At 47.8% G+C, this 16,162-nt stretch overlaps 2 annotated features.

The window, feature by feature from the left end:
• Positions 4,958-5,097: an enhancer, noted in NCBI's record as "active region_13867". NCBI's record gives its function as "activates an Ori minimal core promoter by ATAC-STARR-seq in GM12878 lymphoblastoid cells {active_cell/tissue: GM12878}" and the evidence as "EXISTENCE:reporter gene assay evidence [ECO:0000049][PMID:35858748]".
• Positions 10,119-10,319: a silencer, noted in NCBI's record as "peak3310 fragment used in MPRA reporter construct". NCBI's record gives its function as "represses an SCP1 promoter by STARR-seq MPRAs in K562 erythroleukemia cells {active_cell/tissue: K562}" and the evidence as "EXISTENCE:reporter gene assay evidence [ECO:0000049][PMID:32103011]".

Below are 16,162 nucleotides of genomic sequence, written 5' to 3' on the forward strand. Positions count from 1 at the left end.
TCACCCGAGGTCAGGAGTTCAAGACCAGCCTGGCCAACATGGTGAAACCCCGTCTCTACTAAAAATACAAAAACTAGCCGGGCGTGGTGGCAGGTGCCAGTAATCCCAGCTGCTTGGGAGGCTGAGGCAGGAGAATCGCTTGAACCCAGGAGGCAGAGGTTACTGTCAGCCGAGATCATGACGCTGTACTCCAGCCTGGGTGACAGAGCAAGAACTCTGTCTCAAAAAATAAAAATAAATAAAGAAATAAATAAATAAAAGTGAGAATTTCTTTTCTTTTTTTTTTTTAGTACTCAAAGATTTTTATACTCAGGAAAGAATTTTATACTCAAAGATTCAAGATCACAAAAATGTACCGCTCATTCGTTTTTCTTTCTTTTTAAATTATTTTATTTTATTTTTTCAGGGACAGAGTCTTACTCTGTTGCCCAGCCGGGGGCACAGTGGCACGATCATAGCTCACTGCAGCCTCCACCTCCTGGTGTCAAGCGATCCTCCCACGTCAGCCTCCCAAGTAGCTGGGACTAAAAGCAAGCACCACCACACCCGGCTAATATTTTATTTTTTGTAGGGAGGGGGTGTTGCTATGTTGGTCAGGCTGGTCTTGATCTCATGGGCTCAAGCAGTCCTCTCACCTTGGCCTCCCAAAGTGCTGGGATTACAGGTGTGAGCCACTGCACCTGGCCTCATTTGTTTTTCTTTTTGAGACAGAGTCTTGCTCTGTTGCCTGGGCTAGAGTGCAGTGGTGCAATCTTGGCTTACTGCAACCTCCGCCCCCCAGGTTCAAGTGATTTTCCTGCCTTAGTCTCCCGAGTAGCTGGGACTACAGGCACGCGCCACCATGCCCAGCTAATTTTTTGTATTTTTAGAAGAGACAGGGTTTCACCATGTTGGCCAGGCTGGTCTGGAACTCCTGACCTCAGGTGATCCACCCGCCTCGGCCTCCCAAAGTGCTGGGATTACAGGCGTGAGCCACCTCACCTGGCCATTTTTTATTTAATAGTCTTTATTAATTATTAAAATTGCAGTAAAATATACATTACATGAAATTTATTTTCTTAAGCTTTTTTTTTTTCTTTTTTTTTTGAGACGGTGTCTTGCTCTGTCACCCAGGCTGGAGTGCAGTGGTGCGGTCTCAGCTCACTGCAAGCTCTGCCTCCTGGGTTCACGCCATTCTCCTGCTTCAGCCTCCCGAGTAGCTGGGACTACAGGCGCCTGCCACCACACCCGGCTAATTTTTTGTATTTTTAGTAGAGACGGGGTTTTGCCTTGTTAGCCAGGATGGTCTCGATCTCCTGACCTCGTGATGCACCCGCCTCGGCCTCCCAAAGTGCTGGGATTACAGGTATGAGCCACCACGCCTGGCATTTTTTTTTTTTTTTTTTTTGAGATGGTGTCTTGCTCTGTCACCCAGGCTGGAGTACAGTGGCGCAATCTCGGCTCACTGAAACCTCCGCCTCCTGGGTTCAAGTGATTCTCCTACCTCAGCCTCCCAAGTAGCTGGGATTACAGGCACCCGCCACCACACCCGGCTCATTTTTGTAGTTTTAGTAGAAACGGGGTTTCCCCATGTTGGCCAAGATGGTCTCGATCTTCTGACCTTGTGATCGACCAGCCTCGGCCTCCCAAAGTGCTGGGATTATAGGCGTGAGCCACTGCGCCCAGCCCTTAGACTTTTAATGCTCATAAACTAAGATTCAGGATCTCCAAGGAAGATTTTGAAGTTCAAAAGCCAGGGAGGCTGAGGGCAGAGGATTGCTTCAGGCCAGGAGCTCGAGACCAGCCTGCACAAAATAGTAAGATCTTCCTCTCTACAAAAAAAAAAAATAAATAAAAAAATAAAAAAAATAAAAAAATTAGCTCTGCATGGTGGCACACAACTGTAGTCCCAGCTACTCAGGAGGCTGAGGTGGGAGGATTGCTTGAGCCCAGGAGGTGGAGGCTGTGGTGAACTATGATTGCACCACTGCACTCCAGCCTAGGCAACAGAGTGAGACCTCATCTCTAAAAACCAACCAGGCCAGTCACAGTGGCTCACGCCTATAATCCCAGCACTTTGGGAGGCCGAGGCGGGCAGATCACTTGAGGTCAGGAGTTTGAGACCAGCCTGGCCAACATGGTGAAATCTCATCTCTACTAAAAATACAAAAATTAGCCGGGCGTGGTGGCAGGTACCTGTAATCCCAGCTACTTGGGAGGCTGAGATAAGAGAATCACTTGAACCTGGGAGGGGGACGTTGCAGTGAGATGAGACTGCACCGCTGCACTCCAGCCTGGGTGACAGAGCAAAACTCCATCTCAAACAAAAACAAAAACAAAGAACAAAAAACAAAACAAAGCAAAGAAACAACCAAGTAACCAACTGACCAACAAAAGCCAGGGAGTTGCTTTTTGGGTAAATCTGCAGGCTGCTAGCATAACCCTTAGGAGGCAAAAAGATGGGCTGGCCTAAGCTGACAGGGCTGGGGAAGGATCATGGGCTATAAATTAATTTGGGAAAAAGTAGTTCATACTTCCAAATATATTACCCTACCATACTACTAACAGAGGCACCTCCCGTGTCAAGTATTCAGTGTTGTCTGGCGCCATGAAAGTAAGCACTTCCTACACAGTATCTAGATTAATCTCACAGCCAGCTTCGTGGTATTTTATCTTATTTTATTATTTATTAATTTATTTTTGAGATGGAGTCTAGCTCTGTCGCCAGGCTGCAGTGCAGTGGTGCAATCTTGGCTCACTGCAACCTCCACCTCCCAAGTTCAAGCGATTCTCCTGCCTCAGCCTCCCGAGTAGCTGGGATTACAGACACACGCCGCCACACCCAGCTAACAGTTGTATTTTTAGTAGAGACACAGGGGTTTCGCCATGTTGGCCAGGATGGTCTCGATCTTCTGACCTCGTGATCTGCCCACCTCAGCCTCCCAGAGTGCTGGGATTACAGGCGTGAGCCAACTGCAACCGGCCGGGTTTCTTTTTGTTGTTGTTGTTTTTTTTGTTTTTGAGACGGAGCCTTGCTCTGTCGCCCAGGCTGGAGGGCAGTGGCGCGATCTCGGCTCACTGCAAGCTCCGCCTCCCGGGTTCACGCCATTCTCCTGCCTCAGCCTCTCGAGTAGCTGGGACTACAGGTGCCCGCCACCACGCCCGGCTAATTTTTTGCATTTTTAGTAGAGATGGGGTTTCATCGTGTTAGTCAGGATGGTCTTGATCTCCTCGCCTTGTGATCCGCCCGCCTCGGCCTCCCAAAGTGCTGGGATTACAGACGTGAGCCACTGGGCCTGGCCAGTTTTTATTTTTATATGAAATAGAGCATAGTGGTCAGGGCTCCAAGAGATTCTAAGGTCCTCTGTGCCCCTGTGAAATTAGCTATAAAGTTTTGGGAAAGACTTCGCCTCTCTGAACCAGAGAAAGATAAAATCAGCTCGCCACAGGCAGAGAGTCGGTATGCACCTAAGCACAGAACCACGCTCTTAACCGTCACTCTAGTGCCGGGTGGGGATCTTGGTATATCCTAGCTCTCTCTGCAACCCCAGGTAAGCCAACGCCTAGATGGTACCTGCACACACCTGGCCAGGTGCAGGATATAGCCTCTGAAGCCTGGAGTGAAGTGTTTTTCATGTTTGAGGAACCATGAATCTAGAAATGGGTGTTGGAGGAAGCAATGCAGTCACAAGGGATCAGGAACTAGGACGGGGGGTTTCTGCCCCTCCCGTGACTCCCCCAGAGTCACACCATGAACCTACCTATGGCCTAAGGTGGCTACCTGGGCTGTCTAGTTCAGGGTGTTGGTGAGGTTGAGGTCATGGACTTGTTCTTGGAGTTCCTGGGTGGCCCTCACCTTCAGCCCCAGGCTGTGTGAATGACTCAGGCGCAGACCTGCCTGAAAAGCACGTATAATCCAGTAGGGGACTTAACAATCAACCAGGCAATTATAACACAGAGTTGATGAATTTCATAAGGAACACAGGTGGCTGTGGGAGCAAATACAGATCTAACCCAGGCTTGAGTAGGGGAGGATGGTCAGGGAGGGCTTCCTGGAGGAGGAAACATCTAAGGTGGCAACTGTATAATCAGCTGGATGGAGTCACCTAGAAAATAAATGAGGGGACAGCCTAGCACGGTGGTCCATGTCTGTAATCCCGGCACTTGGGGAGGCCGAGGCGGCGGATCACTTGAGGTCAGGAGTTCGAGACCAGACTGGGCAACATGGTGAAACCCCCATCTCTACTAAAAATACAAAAATTAGCCGGTGTGGTGGCAGGTGCCTGTAATCCCAGCTACTCGGGAGGCTGAGGTAGGAGAATCACTTGAACCTGGGAGGCAGAGATTGCAGTGAGCTGAGATTGCACCACTGCACCCCAGCCTGGACGACAGAGTGAGACTCAATAATAATAATAATAAATAATGAAGGGAAAGTTTTTTAGGGAGAGGGGCAAATGATAGTGATCCTGGTAGGTTCTGGAAACTTCAAGGGGCTCATTTTGCTTGGAGAGGGAGGAAAGTGGGGGTGGGGTGGGTGAAAAGTTGTTGGGAGACCGGGCGTGGTGGCTCATGCCTATAATCCTAGCACTTTGGGAGGCCGAGGCAGGTGGATCACTTGAGCTCAGGAGTTCGAAACCAGCCTGGCCAACATGGTGAATGTACAACGGACAGCCCCCAATACAGACAGACAGACACACACACACACACACACACACACTCACTCACTCCTACCCCCAGCCCTAAGAATTTACAAACACTGATAAAGACAAATGAAATCAGCGGATATAGACTTCAAACGCCGTCAGACAGACACCCACTAGATCAAACAGGGACATTCCTAAACATCACACAGACACATCGCCAGGCAGTCCCACCGCAGACAGCCACAAATTAAAGCCGCGCTTGCCCCCTGATGGACAGCAGCAGTAGTGCGCCACCTCGATAGCGCAATCTCCCAGAGCGCTGGCATTGCAGGCGTGAGCCAACGTCCGCAGCCAAACACGTTCATATTGTTGAGAAGGCAGAGAAATACAAAGTAGGTGGAAGGGTCTCCACCTACAGCTGTTTTCTGTGGTCTGAGGATTCTTCCCACGTCTTTAATTTCTAGTGCTTTCTAGGGGTCTCAACTTGAACTATTTAATATTTTCTGGAAGAGAAACATTTTTTGTGGGGGGGGCGGGTGGGGGTGGGACCGAGTCTCGCTCTTGTCTCCCAGGCTGGAGCACAGTGGCGCGATCTTGGCTCACTGCAACCTCCGCCTCCCAGGTTCAAGCGATTTTCCTGCCTCAGCCTCCCGAGTAGCTGAGATTACAGCGCCCAGCTAATTTTTGTATTTTTAGTAGAGATGGGGTTTCACCATGTTGGCCAGGCTGGTCTCGAACTCCTAACCTCAGGTGATTCGCCCGCGTCGGCTTCCCAAAGTGCTGGGATTACAGGCGTGAGCCACCGCGCCCGGCCCAGAGGAACTTTTTTTTTTTTTTTCCAGAGGAACATTTTTTATCCAAAGGAATGACTCCCTAATGGTGGAATTCCAGGCAATGAAGTGAGGCGCGAGGCAGATTGTCACATAGGGAGCTGTCATATTTCATGGGTACCATTCACGCAAGGCGGGACTTGTTCTTAGGCAGCCAACACTTCCGCATTGTCCTGGCATTTGAGCCGCGGAACCAAGTTCCGCGTATCTTGCCCATTGTAACCCCACAGCACCAATTTGAAGCTATGTAGTGCCCTCTGGTGGCCTTCGGTGATTTGGCTTCAGTGTCTCAAACTCTCTGATTAGACTGTTTCCAAAGAGAAGGCTGTTAGGGGGCCTCAGAAGTCAGGTTTGGATGTTTGAGCTCTAAGCTGCAGGATTTGGGGAGCCGTGGTGTGGGGGTGATTTATTTATTTATTTTTGAGAAAGAGTCTCACTCTGTCGCCCAGGCTGGAGGGCAATGGTGTGATCTTGGCTCACTGCAACCTCCACCTCCCAGGTTCAAGTGATTCTCCTCCCTCAGCCTCCCGAGTAGCTGGGACTACAAGAGCCCGACACCACGCCCAGCTAATTTTTGTATTTTCTTTTGAGTAGAGACGGGGTTTCACCATGTTGGCCAGGCTGGTCTCGAACTCCTGACCTCAGGTTATCCACCTGCCTTGGCTTTCCAAAGTGCTGGGATTACAGGTGTGAACCATGCCTGGCCGGAGTGGGGATGATTCAAACAGTGGATATTCGCATAGAATGTGCCCATTCCTATGGTGTAAATAGTCCCACCGCATCTGATTTCTTTTTTCTTCTTTTTTTTTTGTTTTTTGTTTTTTTGTTTTTGAGATAGAGTCTTGCTCTGTTGCCCAGGCTGGAATGCAGTGGCACAATCTCAGCTCACTGCAACCTCCACCTCCTGGGTTCCAAGCAGTTCTCCCTGCCTCCGCTGCCTGAGTAGCTCGATTACAAGTGCCCACCACCAAGCCCAGCTAACTTTTGTATTTTTAGTAGAGATGGGGTTTGGCTGTTTGCCAGGCTGGTCTTGAACTCCCGACCTCAGATGATTTGCCCGCCTCGGCCTCTTACAGTGCTGGGATTACAGGTGTGGGCCACCGCACCTGGCCCACAGCTGATTTCAAGTCATCATAAGTATCCTCACTTTCCTTGCCTCCAGTCCACCCAGCAAAAGCACAACTAACATCAGAGAGCTCAGGCACGGGGATAACCATAAGGTCCTATGTAATCTGCATCTCCCTTCCTGCCTTGGCCATGCTGGCCACAGGCAGCAGGAAGGGGCAGAGGAAGGAGCTGGGCGAGGATGTGGCCTCAGCTGGAGTTTACTTAGAGATTAGCTCCATGGAGAAAAATAAAGTGGAGTAACATGCTAGCAAGTTTTTATTTAAAACTTTAAAAATAAAAAAGTTTTTGAGGCCGGGCATGGTGGCTAATGCCTGTAATCCCAGCACTCCGGGAGGCCGAGGCAGGCGGATCACAAGGGCAGGAGATCGAGACCATCCTGGCTAACACGGTGAAACCCCGTCTCTACTAAAAATATAAAAAATTAGCCGGACATGGTGGCAGGCGCCTATAGTCCCAACTATTCGGGCAGCTGAGGCAGGAGAATGGCGTGAACCCGGGAGGCGGAGCTTGCAGTGAGCCGAGATCGCACCACTGCACTCCAGCCTGGGCATTACAGTGAGACTGTCTCAAAAAAAAAAAAAAAAAAAGAAAAGTAAAAAAAGAACAGAATGCTTTGGCATATTTAAAAATGGTTCCTGCCGGGCACAGTGGCTCATGCCTGTAATCCCAGCACTTTGGGAGGCTGAGGCGGGTGGATTACGAGGTCAGGAGATCGAGACCATCCTGGCTAACACGGAGAAACCCCGTCTCTACTAAAATAGTACAAAAAAATTAGCCAGGCGTGGTGGCGGGCGCCTGTAGTCCCAGCTACTCGGGAGGCTGAGGCAGGAGAATGGCGTGAACCCAGGAGACGGAGCTTGCAGTGAGCCGAGATCGTCCCACTGCACCCCAGCCTGGGCGACAGAGCGAGACTCTGCCTCAAAAAAAGAAAGAAAGAAAGAAAGAAAGAAAGAAAGAAAGAAATCTAGCCCCTTCCTCAGGGCCGAGAGAATTTTGAGCACTAGCCTTCTCTCGGTCGCCTGAATTCATCTCAGAGTGTGGCATTTCTCTGCAACTCACTCGGTTACAACACGGGGTGTGGATTATTCAGGAGTGTTCTGGGAAGGGGTTGAGGATTTTCCAGAACTAAGGGTTCCTCGCCTTTCTAGACTCTCTAGGATAGCTTCCGGACATTGCCATGGCATCTGTAAACTGTCATGGCGCTTGCGGGAGTTTCTTTTAGCAGCTAATACATGATAATTAGTGTATAATAAGAATGAACAATGAGGACAACCACAGGTCAGTTTTGTCGCCATCTTGGTTTTGGTGGGATTTGGGCTGGCTTCTCTACCGCAGCCTGTTTAATCAGTAGGGTCTTTATGACCTGTATCTTGTGTCGACCTCCTATCTCATCCTGTGACTAAGAATGCCTGATCTCCCGGGAATGCCCAGCAGGTCGCAGCCTCATGTTACCCAGCTCCTGTTCAAGATGGAGTCACACTGGTTCAAACTCCTCTGACAAGTTTGTAAAACTTATGAAACTGCGGGGGCTGCCCTAAGACTTCTGCACACTGAGTCTTGAGCGATTCGTCAATTACCGTTCAGGTTTTTCTACCCCGGTACTGGTTCCTGAGGTGTTTTCTGCTCCAGTAAACCGACACTCTCTCTCTGACTCTCCAATTCATAACAAAACATTTCATGACACGAAACACAAACATACATAAAATGTACTTTTTTTTTTTTTGAGATGGAATCTCACTCTGTCACCCAGGCTGGAGTGCAGTGGCGGGATCTCAGCTCACTGCAACCTCTGCCTCCCGGGTTCAAGCAATTCTCCTGCCTCAGCCTCCTGAGTAGCTGAGATTACAGGCACGTGCCACTATGCCTGGCTAATTTTTTGTACTTTTAGTAGAGACGGGTTTCACCATGTTGGTCAGGCTGGTCTCGAACTCCTGACCTCATGATCCACCTGCCTCAGCCTCCCAAAGTGCTGGGATTACAGGCGTGAGCCACCATGCCCAGCAAAATGTACCTCTTTTACCATTTTCTTTTTTTGAGATAGGATCTTGCTCTGTTGCCTGGGCTAGAGTGTAGTGGCACGATCACAGTTCACTTCAGGCTCAACCTCACCAGGCTCAAGCGATCCTCCTCCGTCAGCCTCCTGAGTAGCTTGGATTACAGGCACCAGACACCACACCCAGGGCAGCTGTTTGCCCTGTGTCCTTGTAACTACCCAGTGGGTTCACCTTGCTCTCCGCCTAGACAGAGTCAATTTCTCAAGACAGGAATTGCAGTAGAGAAAGAGTAATTCACACAGAGCCGGCTGTGTGGGAGACTGGAGTTTTATTAATCAAATCAGTCTCCTTGAGCTTTCTGGGAGCAGAGCTTTTAAGGACAACTTGGTGGGTTGGGAGAAGCCAGCGAGCCAGGAGTGCTGATCGGTCATGGATGAAATCACAGGGAGTCAAAGCTGTCTTCTTGCACTGAGTCAGTTCCTGGTGGGGGACCACAAGATCTCATGAGCCAGTTTATCAATCTGGGTGGTGCCAGCTGATCCATCAAGTGCAGGGTTTGCAAAATATCTCAAGCCCTGATCTTAGGAGCAATTTAGGGAGGGTCAGAATCTTTTAGCCTCTAGCTGCATGCCTCCTAAACCATCATTTCTAATCTTGGGGCTAATTTGTTAGTCCTACAAAGGCAGTCTAGTGCCCAAACAAGAAGGAGGTTTGTTTTGGGAAAGGGCTGTTATCGTCTTTGTTTTAAACTATAAAGTTCCTCCCAAGGTTACTTCCGCCTATGCCCAAGAATGAACAAGGACAGCTTGGAGGTTAGAAGCAAGATGGAGGCCAGGCGCGGTGGCTCACGCCTGTAATCCTAACACTTTGGGAGGCCAAGGCAGGTGGATCACCTGAGGTTGGGATTTCGAGACCAGCCTGACCAACATGGTGAGGTGAGAGGATGGCTTCAGCACAGGAGGCTGAGGCTGCAGTGAGCTATGATTGTACCATTGCACTCCAGCCTGGGCAACAGAGCAAGACCCTCATCCCAAAACAAAAGCAAAAATAATAATAATAATAAACCCCAACCCTCACCCAGTCTGTAGTACTTAGTTATGGCATTCCTAACAGACCAATACAGTGAAACTAGGTCTATCGCCAGAAAAGCCCATTCTGTGGGCTAACAGAATATATTGTCCCTTATTTTTTTATTTTTTTTGACAGAGTATCGCTCTGTCACCCAGGTTGGAGTGCAGTGGTGTGATCTTGGCTCACTGCAACCTCCACCTCCTGGGTTCAAGCAATTCTTCTGCCTTAGCCTCCTGAGTAGCTGGGATTACAGGCATCCACCACCATGCCTGGCTAATTTCTGTATTTTTAGTAGAGATGTGTTGTCACCACATTGGCCAGGCTGGCCTTGAACTCCTGACCTGTGATCCGCCCACCTCAGCCTCCCAAAGTGCTGGGATTACAGGCATGAGCCACCGTGCCCAGTCTATTGCCCGTTATTTAGGCTGTATCTTTGTGTAGCTCCTCCACTTCCCAGAACCCTCTATCTTCTCAGAGGCTTAGGCCTGGAGATCCATTTTCTTTCTCTAGATTCTTTGAGACCCACTTCCTTCAAATTCAGCTCCCCGTCTGCCTGGTCTCAGGGGCCCTATCTTTGGGGATGAATAAGATGATTTATTATTTTTTTCTTCAGTCATTTTGCACTTTCACATATTCTTCTGGGTCATCTTCTCATAATGTCCAAAGACAGTCTAGACTATCAGTTCCTCTAGCTGGTTCTTCTGCCCCCTGTGAGATGCAAGGATAAGTAAAACCATTCGGGGAACTGGCTTGGAGCTCAGCCAGAAACCCTTGCAGAAATTGGCAGAGGGAGAATCTGTGCACAGCAACGCTTGCAGACGTTAGGTGTCCCTTGCAAAGGGAGTGGATAAACACACAGCTGCCCACTGTGTAAGTTCACCAGCCTGTGCCCCGAGCTCTAAACAGGACTGGGGAAAGGTTTCCAAGATGTATTTCTTATCAGCAGCCTGCAGTTAGGAAACAAAAATTGCAACAGTTTTTGTTGCTTTATTTTAGTTTTTAAGGAAGTATATGGTTAGATTGTTGCTAAGGTTTATAAGGTCATATGTCTTTTTCTTTTTTTCTTTTTTCTTTTTTGAGATGGAGTATTGCTCTGTTGCCCAGGCTGGAGTGCAGTGGCATGATCTCAGCTCACTGCAACCTCCACCTCTGGGGTTCAAGCAATTCTCTTGCCTCAGCCTCCTGAGTAGCTGGGATTACAGGTATGCACCACCACACTCGGCTAATTTTTGTATTTTTAGCAGAGACAGAGCTCCACCATGTTGGCCAGGCTGGTCTCGAACTGTGGGCGGAGGATTACCTATGTGCCGAGTCAAGAGACTGAAGGCACAAACTGTTTCAGTATAATAAAGAAAATAGTTAGAATAGTCATAATACAAGTTAGATATAGAGATGATCATGAACAGTTATTAATCATTATTATAAACATTAATCATTAGCTTTTAATATTACTCTTTGTTGCATTACTAATATAACCTAGGAATAACCGGCGGATATAGGGTCAGGTGCTGAAGGGACATTGTGAGAAGTGACCTAGAAGGCAAGAGGTGAGCCCTCTGACATGCCCGCATAAGGGCTGCTTGAGGGCTCCTTGGTCAAGCGGTAACGCCAGTGTCTGGGAAGGCACCCGTTACTTGGCAGACCGCGAAAGGGAGTCTCCTTTCCTTGGAGGAGTCAGGGAACGCTCTGCTCCACCAGCTTCTTGTGGAAGGCTGGATATTATCCAGGCCTGCCCGCAGTCATCCGGGGGCCTAAACCCCTCCCTGTGGTGCTGTGCTTCAGTGGTCACTCTCCTTGTCCACTTTCATGCTCCTCCAGTACTCCTGGTTCCTCTTTGAAGTTCACAGTAGATAGTGGTAGCAGAAATAGTGAAAGTCTTAAAGTCTTTGATCTTTCTTATTAGTGCAGAGAAGAAAACGCTGACGTATGCTGCCTTCTCTCTCTGCTACCTAAAAGGTAAGGGCCCCCTATCCTGTCATCATCCTGTAATCACGTGACTTGCCTCACCTTGTCGATCACTTAGAAGATTCACCCTCCTTACCCTGCCCCCTTGTCTTGTATGCGGTAAATATCCGCGTGCGCAGCTGTTCCGGGCTACTACCAGTCTCCGCATCTTGATGGTAGTGGTCCCCCGGGCCCAGCTGCTTTCTCTTTATCTCTTTATCTTGTGTCTTTATTTATTACAATCTCTCATCTCCGCACACGGGGAGAACACCCGCTAAGCCCCATAGGGCTGGACCCTACATTGAACTCCTGACCTCAGGTGATTCACCCGCCTCGGCCTCCGAAAGTGCTGGGATTACAGGCGTGAGCCACCGCACGCGGCTGGTCACATGTCTTCAACATTGTGCAATGAGATCAACTCTATATTAAAAGAAATTTAAGAGATCACATTTCATTGGAGATGTACAAAACCAATGTCATTAGGTCCCTTTATATGGCACACACAATAAAACAATTTGATTCCTCCATTTAGCAGGCAGCATAAAATAATTTGGTTGCTTTGTAGAACATGCACTGACGAATAACGTGGTCCCCTCATGCAGAATGCACCATAAAATAATTGGACAGGATGGTGGGTGCTGTTTTATTTTGGGGCCTATTTTATCAACTTCATTGAGGAATAATTTGTGTACAACAAATGGCATGCTTTGGCAGTGTACAATGTGATGTTTTGACAAGCACTGTTAACAATGCTACAGTAAAAATATGGATCAGTCCGGGCACGGTGGTTCATGCCTGTAATCCCAGCACTTTGGGAGGCCAAGGTGGGCAGATCGTTTGAGGTCAGGAGTTGGAGACGAGCTTGGCCAACATGGTGAAACCCCGTCTCGACTAAAAATACAAAAATTAGCTGGGCATGGTGGTGCGCGCTTGTAATCCCAGCTACTTGGGAGGCTGAGGCAGGAGAATTGCTTGAACCCAGGAGGCAGAGGTTGCAGTGAGCCGAGATTGCACCACTGCACTCCAGCCTAGGCAACAGAATAAGACTCCATCTTAAAGAATATACATAGATCATTTCCATCATTCCCCTAAGTCCCCTGGGACCCTCTTGTAATTCATCCTTCCCTCCACCCCGGCCCTAGGTAACCACTGATTTGCTTTCTCTACCCCTAACCATATATGGTTTGTGTTTTCTAGAATTTCAAATACATAGAGTGGTTAATTTTATATGTCAACTTGTCTAGACTGTGGGAAGGTATTTTTAAGCTATGATTAATGTTTATAGTCAGTTGACTTTCAGTAAATTAGATGACTCTCTATAAAGTAAGTGGGCCACTTCTAATCAATTGAATTCCTTAGGAGCAAAGATAGGTTTCCCGAAGAAGAAGGAATTCTGACTTCAGACTTTAACATAGAGATATAGAAATTCTGCCTGTGAATTGCAACAAAAGCAAAAATTGACCAATGGGATCTAATTAAACTAAAGAGTTTCTGCACAGCAAAAGAAACTGTCATCAGAGTGAACAGGCAATGGCCGGACCTGGTGACTCACGCCTGTAGTCCCAGCACTTTGGGAGGCTGAGGAGAGTGGATCATGAGGTCAAGAGTTTGAGACCAGCCTGGCCAACATGGTGAAACCCTGTCTTTACTAAAAATATAAAAATTAGCGGGGCGTGGTGGTGGGTGCCTGTAATCCCAGCTACATGGGAGGCTGAGGCAGGAGAATTGCTTGAAGCTGGGAGAAGGAGGTTGCAGTGAGCCGAGATTATGCCACTGCACTCCAGCCTGGGTGACAGAGCAAGACTCCATCTCAAACAAACAAAAAATTAACTGGGCATGATGGCACATGCCTGTAGTCCTAGCTACTGGGGTGGCTGAGGTGGGAGGATCACTAGAGCCCAGGAGGCTGAGGCTGCAGTGCCGAGATTGTGCCACTGCACTCCAGCCTGGGCAACAGAGCAAGACTCTGTCTCAAAAAACAAAACAAAACAAAAACAAAAGCAACAAACAAACAAAAAACGAGTGAACAGGCAACCTACAGAGTGGGAGAAAATCTTTGCAATTTATCCATCTGACAGAGGTCGAATATCCAGAATCTACAAGAAACTCAAACAAATTTACAAGAAAAAGACAAACAACACCATTGAAAAGTGGGCAAAGGACATGAACAGACACTTCTCAAAAGAAGACATTCATGCAGTCAACAAAAATATGAAGAAAAGCTCAACATCAATGATCATTAGAGAAATGCAAATTGAAACCACAATGAGATACCATCTCATGCCAGTCAGAATGACCACTATTAAAGAGTCAAGAAACAATAGATGCTGGCGAGGTGGCAGAGAAATAGGAATGTTTTTACACTGTTGGTGGGAAAGTACATCAGTTCAGCCCTTGTGGAAGATGGTGTGGTGATTCTTCAAAGATCTAGAACCGGAAATACCATTTGGCCCAACAATCCCATTACTGCAAATATACCCAAAGGAATATAAATGATACTATTACAAAGATACATGTATGTGTACTTTCATTGCAGCACTACTCACATAGCAAGGACATGGAATCTACCCAAATGCCCATCAATGATAGACTGGATTAAGAAAATGTGGTACATATATACCATGGAATACTATGCAGCCATAAAAAGGAATGAGATCGTGTCCTTTGCAGGGACACGGATGAAGCTGGAAGGCATTATCCTCAGCAAACTAACGCAAGAACAGAAAACCAAATACCACATGTTCTCACTTATAGTGGGAGCTGAAAAATGAGAACATATGGACACAGGGAGGGGAACAACACACACTGAGGCCTGTCAGGGGGTGGGGTTGGGAGAGGGAAAGTATTAGGAAAAATAGTGAACTCATGTTGGGCTTAATACCTAGGCGACAGATTGATAGCTGCAGCAAACCACCATGGCACATGTCTACCTGTGTAACAAACTTGCACATCCTGCACATGTACCCCAGAACTAAAAATACACATTTAAAAATGTTTTTAAAAAGAAACAAGGCTGGGTGCGGTGGCTCACACCTGTAATCCCAGCACGTTGAGAGGCCGAGGTGGGTGGATCACCTGAGGTCAGGAGTTCAAGATCAGCCTGGCCAACATGGTGAAACCCCATCTCTACCAAAAATACAAAATTAGCTGGGTATGGTGGCACATGCCTGTAGTCCCAGCTACTCGGGAGGCTGAGGCAGGAGAATTGCTTGAACCCGGGAGGCGGAGGTTGCGGTGAGCCGAGATCACGCCATGGCACTCCAGCCTGGGCAACCCAAGAGTGAAATTCCCTCTCGGGGAAAAAAAAAAAAAGAAAAAGAAACAAAGCTGGGTGTGGTGGCTCACGCCTGTAATCCCAGCACTTTGGGAAGCCAAGGTGGGTGGATCACCTTGAGGTCAGGAGTTCGAGACCAGCCTGGCCAACATGGTGAAACCCCATTTTTAATCTCTACTAAAAATACAAAAGTTAGCCGGGCGTGGTGGTGCATGCTTGTAATCCCGGCTATTCAGGAGGCTGAGGCGAGAGAATCGCTTGAACCCAGGAGGCAGAGGTTGCAGTGAGCCAAGATTGCGCCATTGCACTCCAGCCTGGGTGACAGAGTGAGACTCTGTCTCAAAAAATAAATAAAATAAAATAAAATAAATTTTAAAAGAAGAAAGACATTTTGCCTGTGCTTTAAGCCTTTGGGCCCAAGACTGCAGTATCACCTCTTACCTGAATCTGCAGCCTGTCAGATTGCCTTAGGGATTTCGGACTTGTAACCCCTACAATCCCGTGAGCCAGTTCCTTAAAATCACTCTCTCTCTCTTTCTGACTCTCTGTCTCCCTCTCTCTGTCTCTCTGTTTCTCCTCTTAGTTTTGTTTCTCTGGAGAATCTTGGATAATACAAGATCCTTTTAGTTTATTCCCTCTTTGTGTCTGGCTTCTTTTCTGTCTTTTTTCAAAAATTTGCATGAATGTATGAGGTACAAGTCCAGTTTTGGTACATGGATTACTGCTTAGTGGTGAAGTCTGGGCTTTTAGTGTAGCCATCACCCGAGCCATGTACATTGAACCCACTAAGTAATTTCTCATCCCTCACTCCCCTTCCACCCTTCCAAGTCCCCAGTGTCTATTATTCTACACTCTACGTCCATGTGCACGCATTATTTAGCTCCTATTTATAAGTGAGACTATGTGGATTTGACTTTCTGTTTCTGAGTTGTTTTATTTAAGATAACGGCCTTCAGTTCCATCCAGGTGTTACCAAAGACATGATCTCATTCTTTTTTATGGCTGAGTAGTATTCCACAGTTCATATATGTGGGGGGTTCAGTCAGAGTGGTTGGAAAAACTATAAGGAAAGGACTCAAACCTTCTGAAAGTTTGGAAGGTTCTGCAGAGCCCCGGGGGAGGAATAGCTGAAGGCAGCTGTTCTATAACCCTGAGGCAGAGGGCAAGGAGTAGGTACAAGGGAGTGTGGGCGAATTTATCTTAAGCAGGCCTGTTTACTTACGTTGACCAGGAACTGACTTTTGATCATCTGCCTATGTGATGTTCCCTGAAAGGGGAGCAATAAATGTTAATTACCTA

This window comes from Homo sapiens, chromosome 19 (assembly GCF_000001405.40).
Source record: "Homo sapiens chromosome 19, GRCh38.p14 Primary Assembly".
Lineage (NCBI taxonomy): Eukaryota > Metazoa > Chordata > Mammalia > Primates > Hominidae > Homo > Homo sapiens.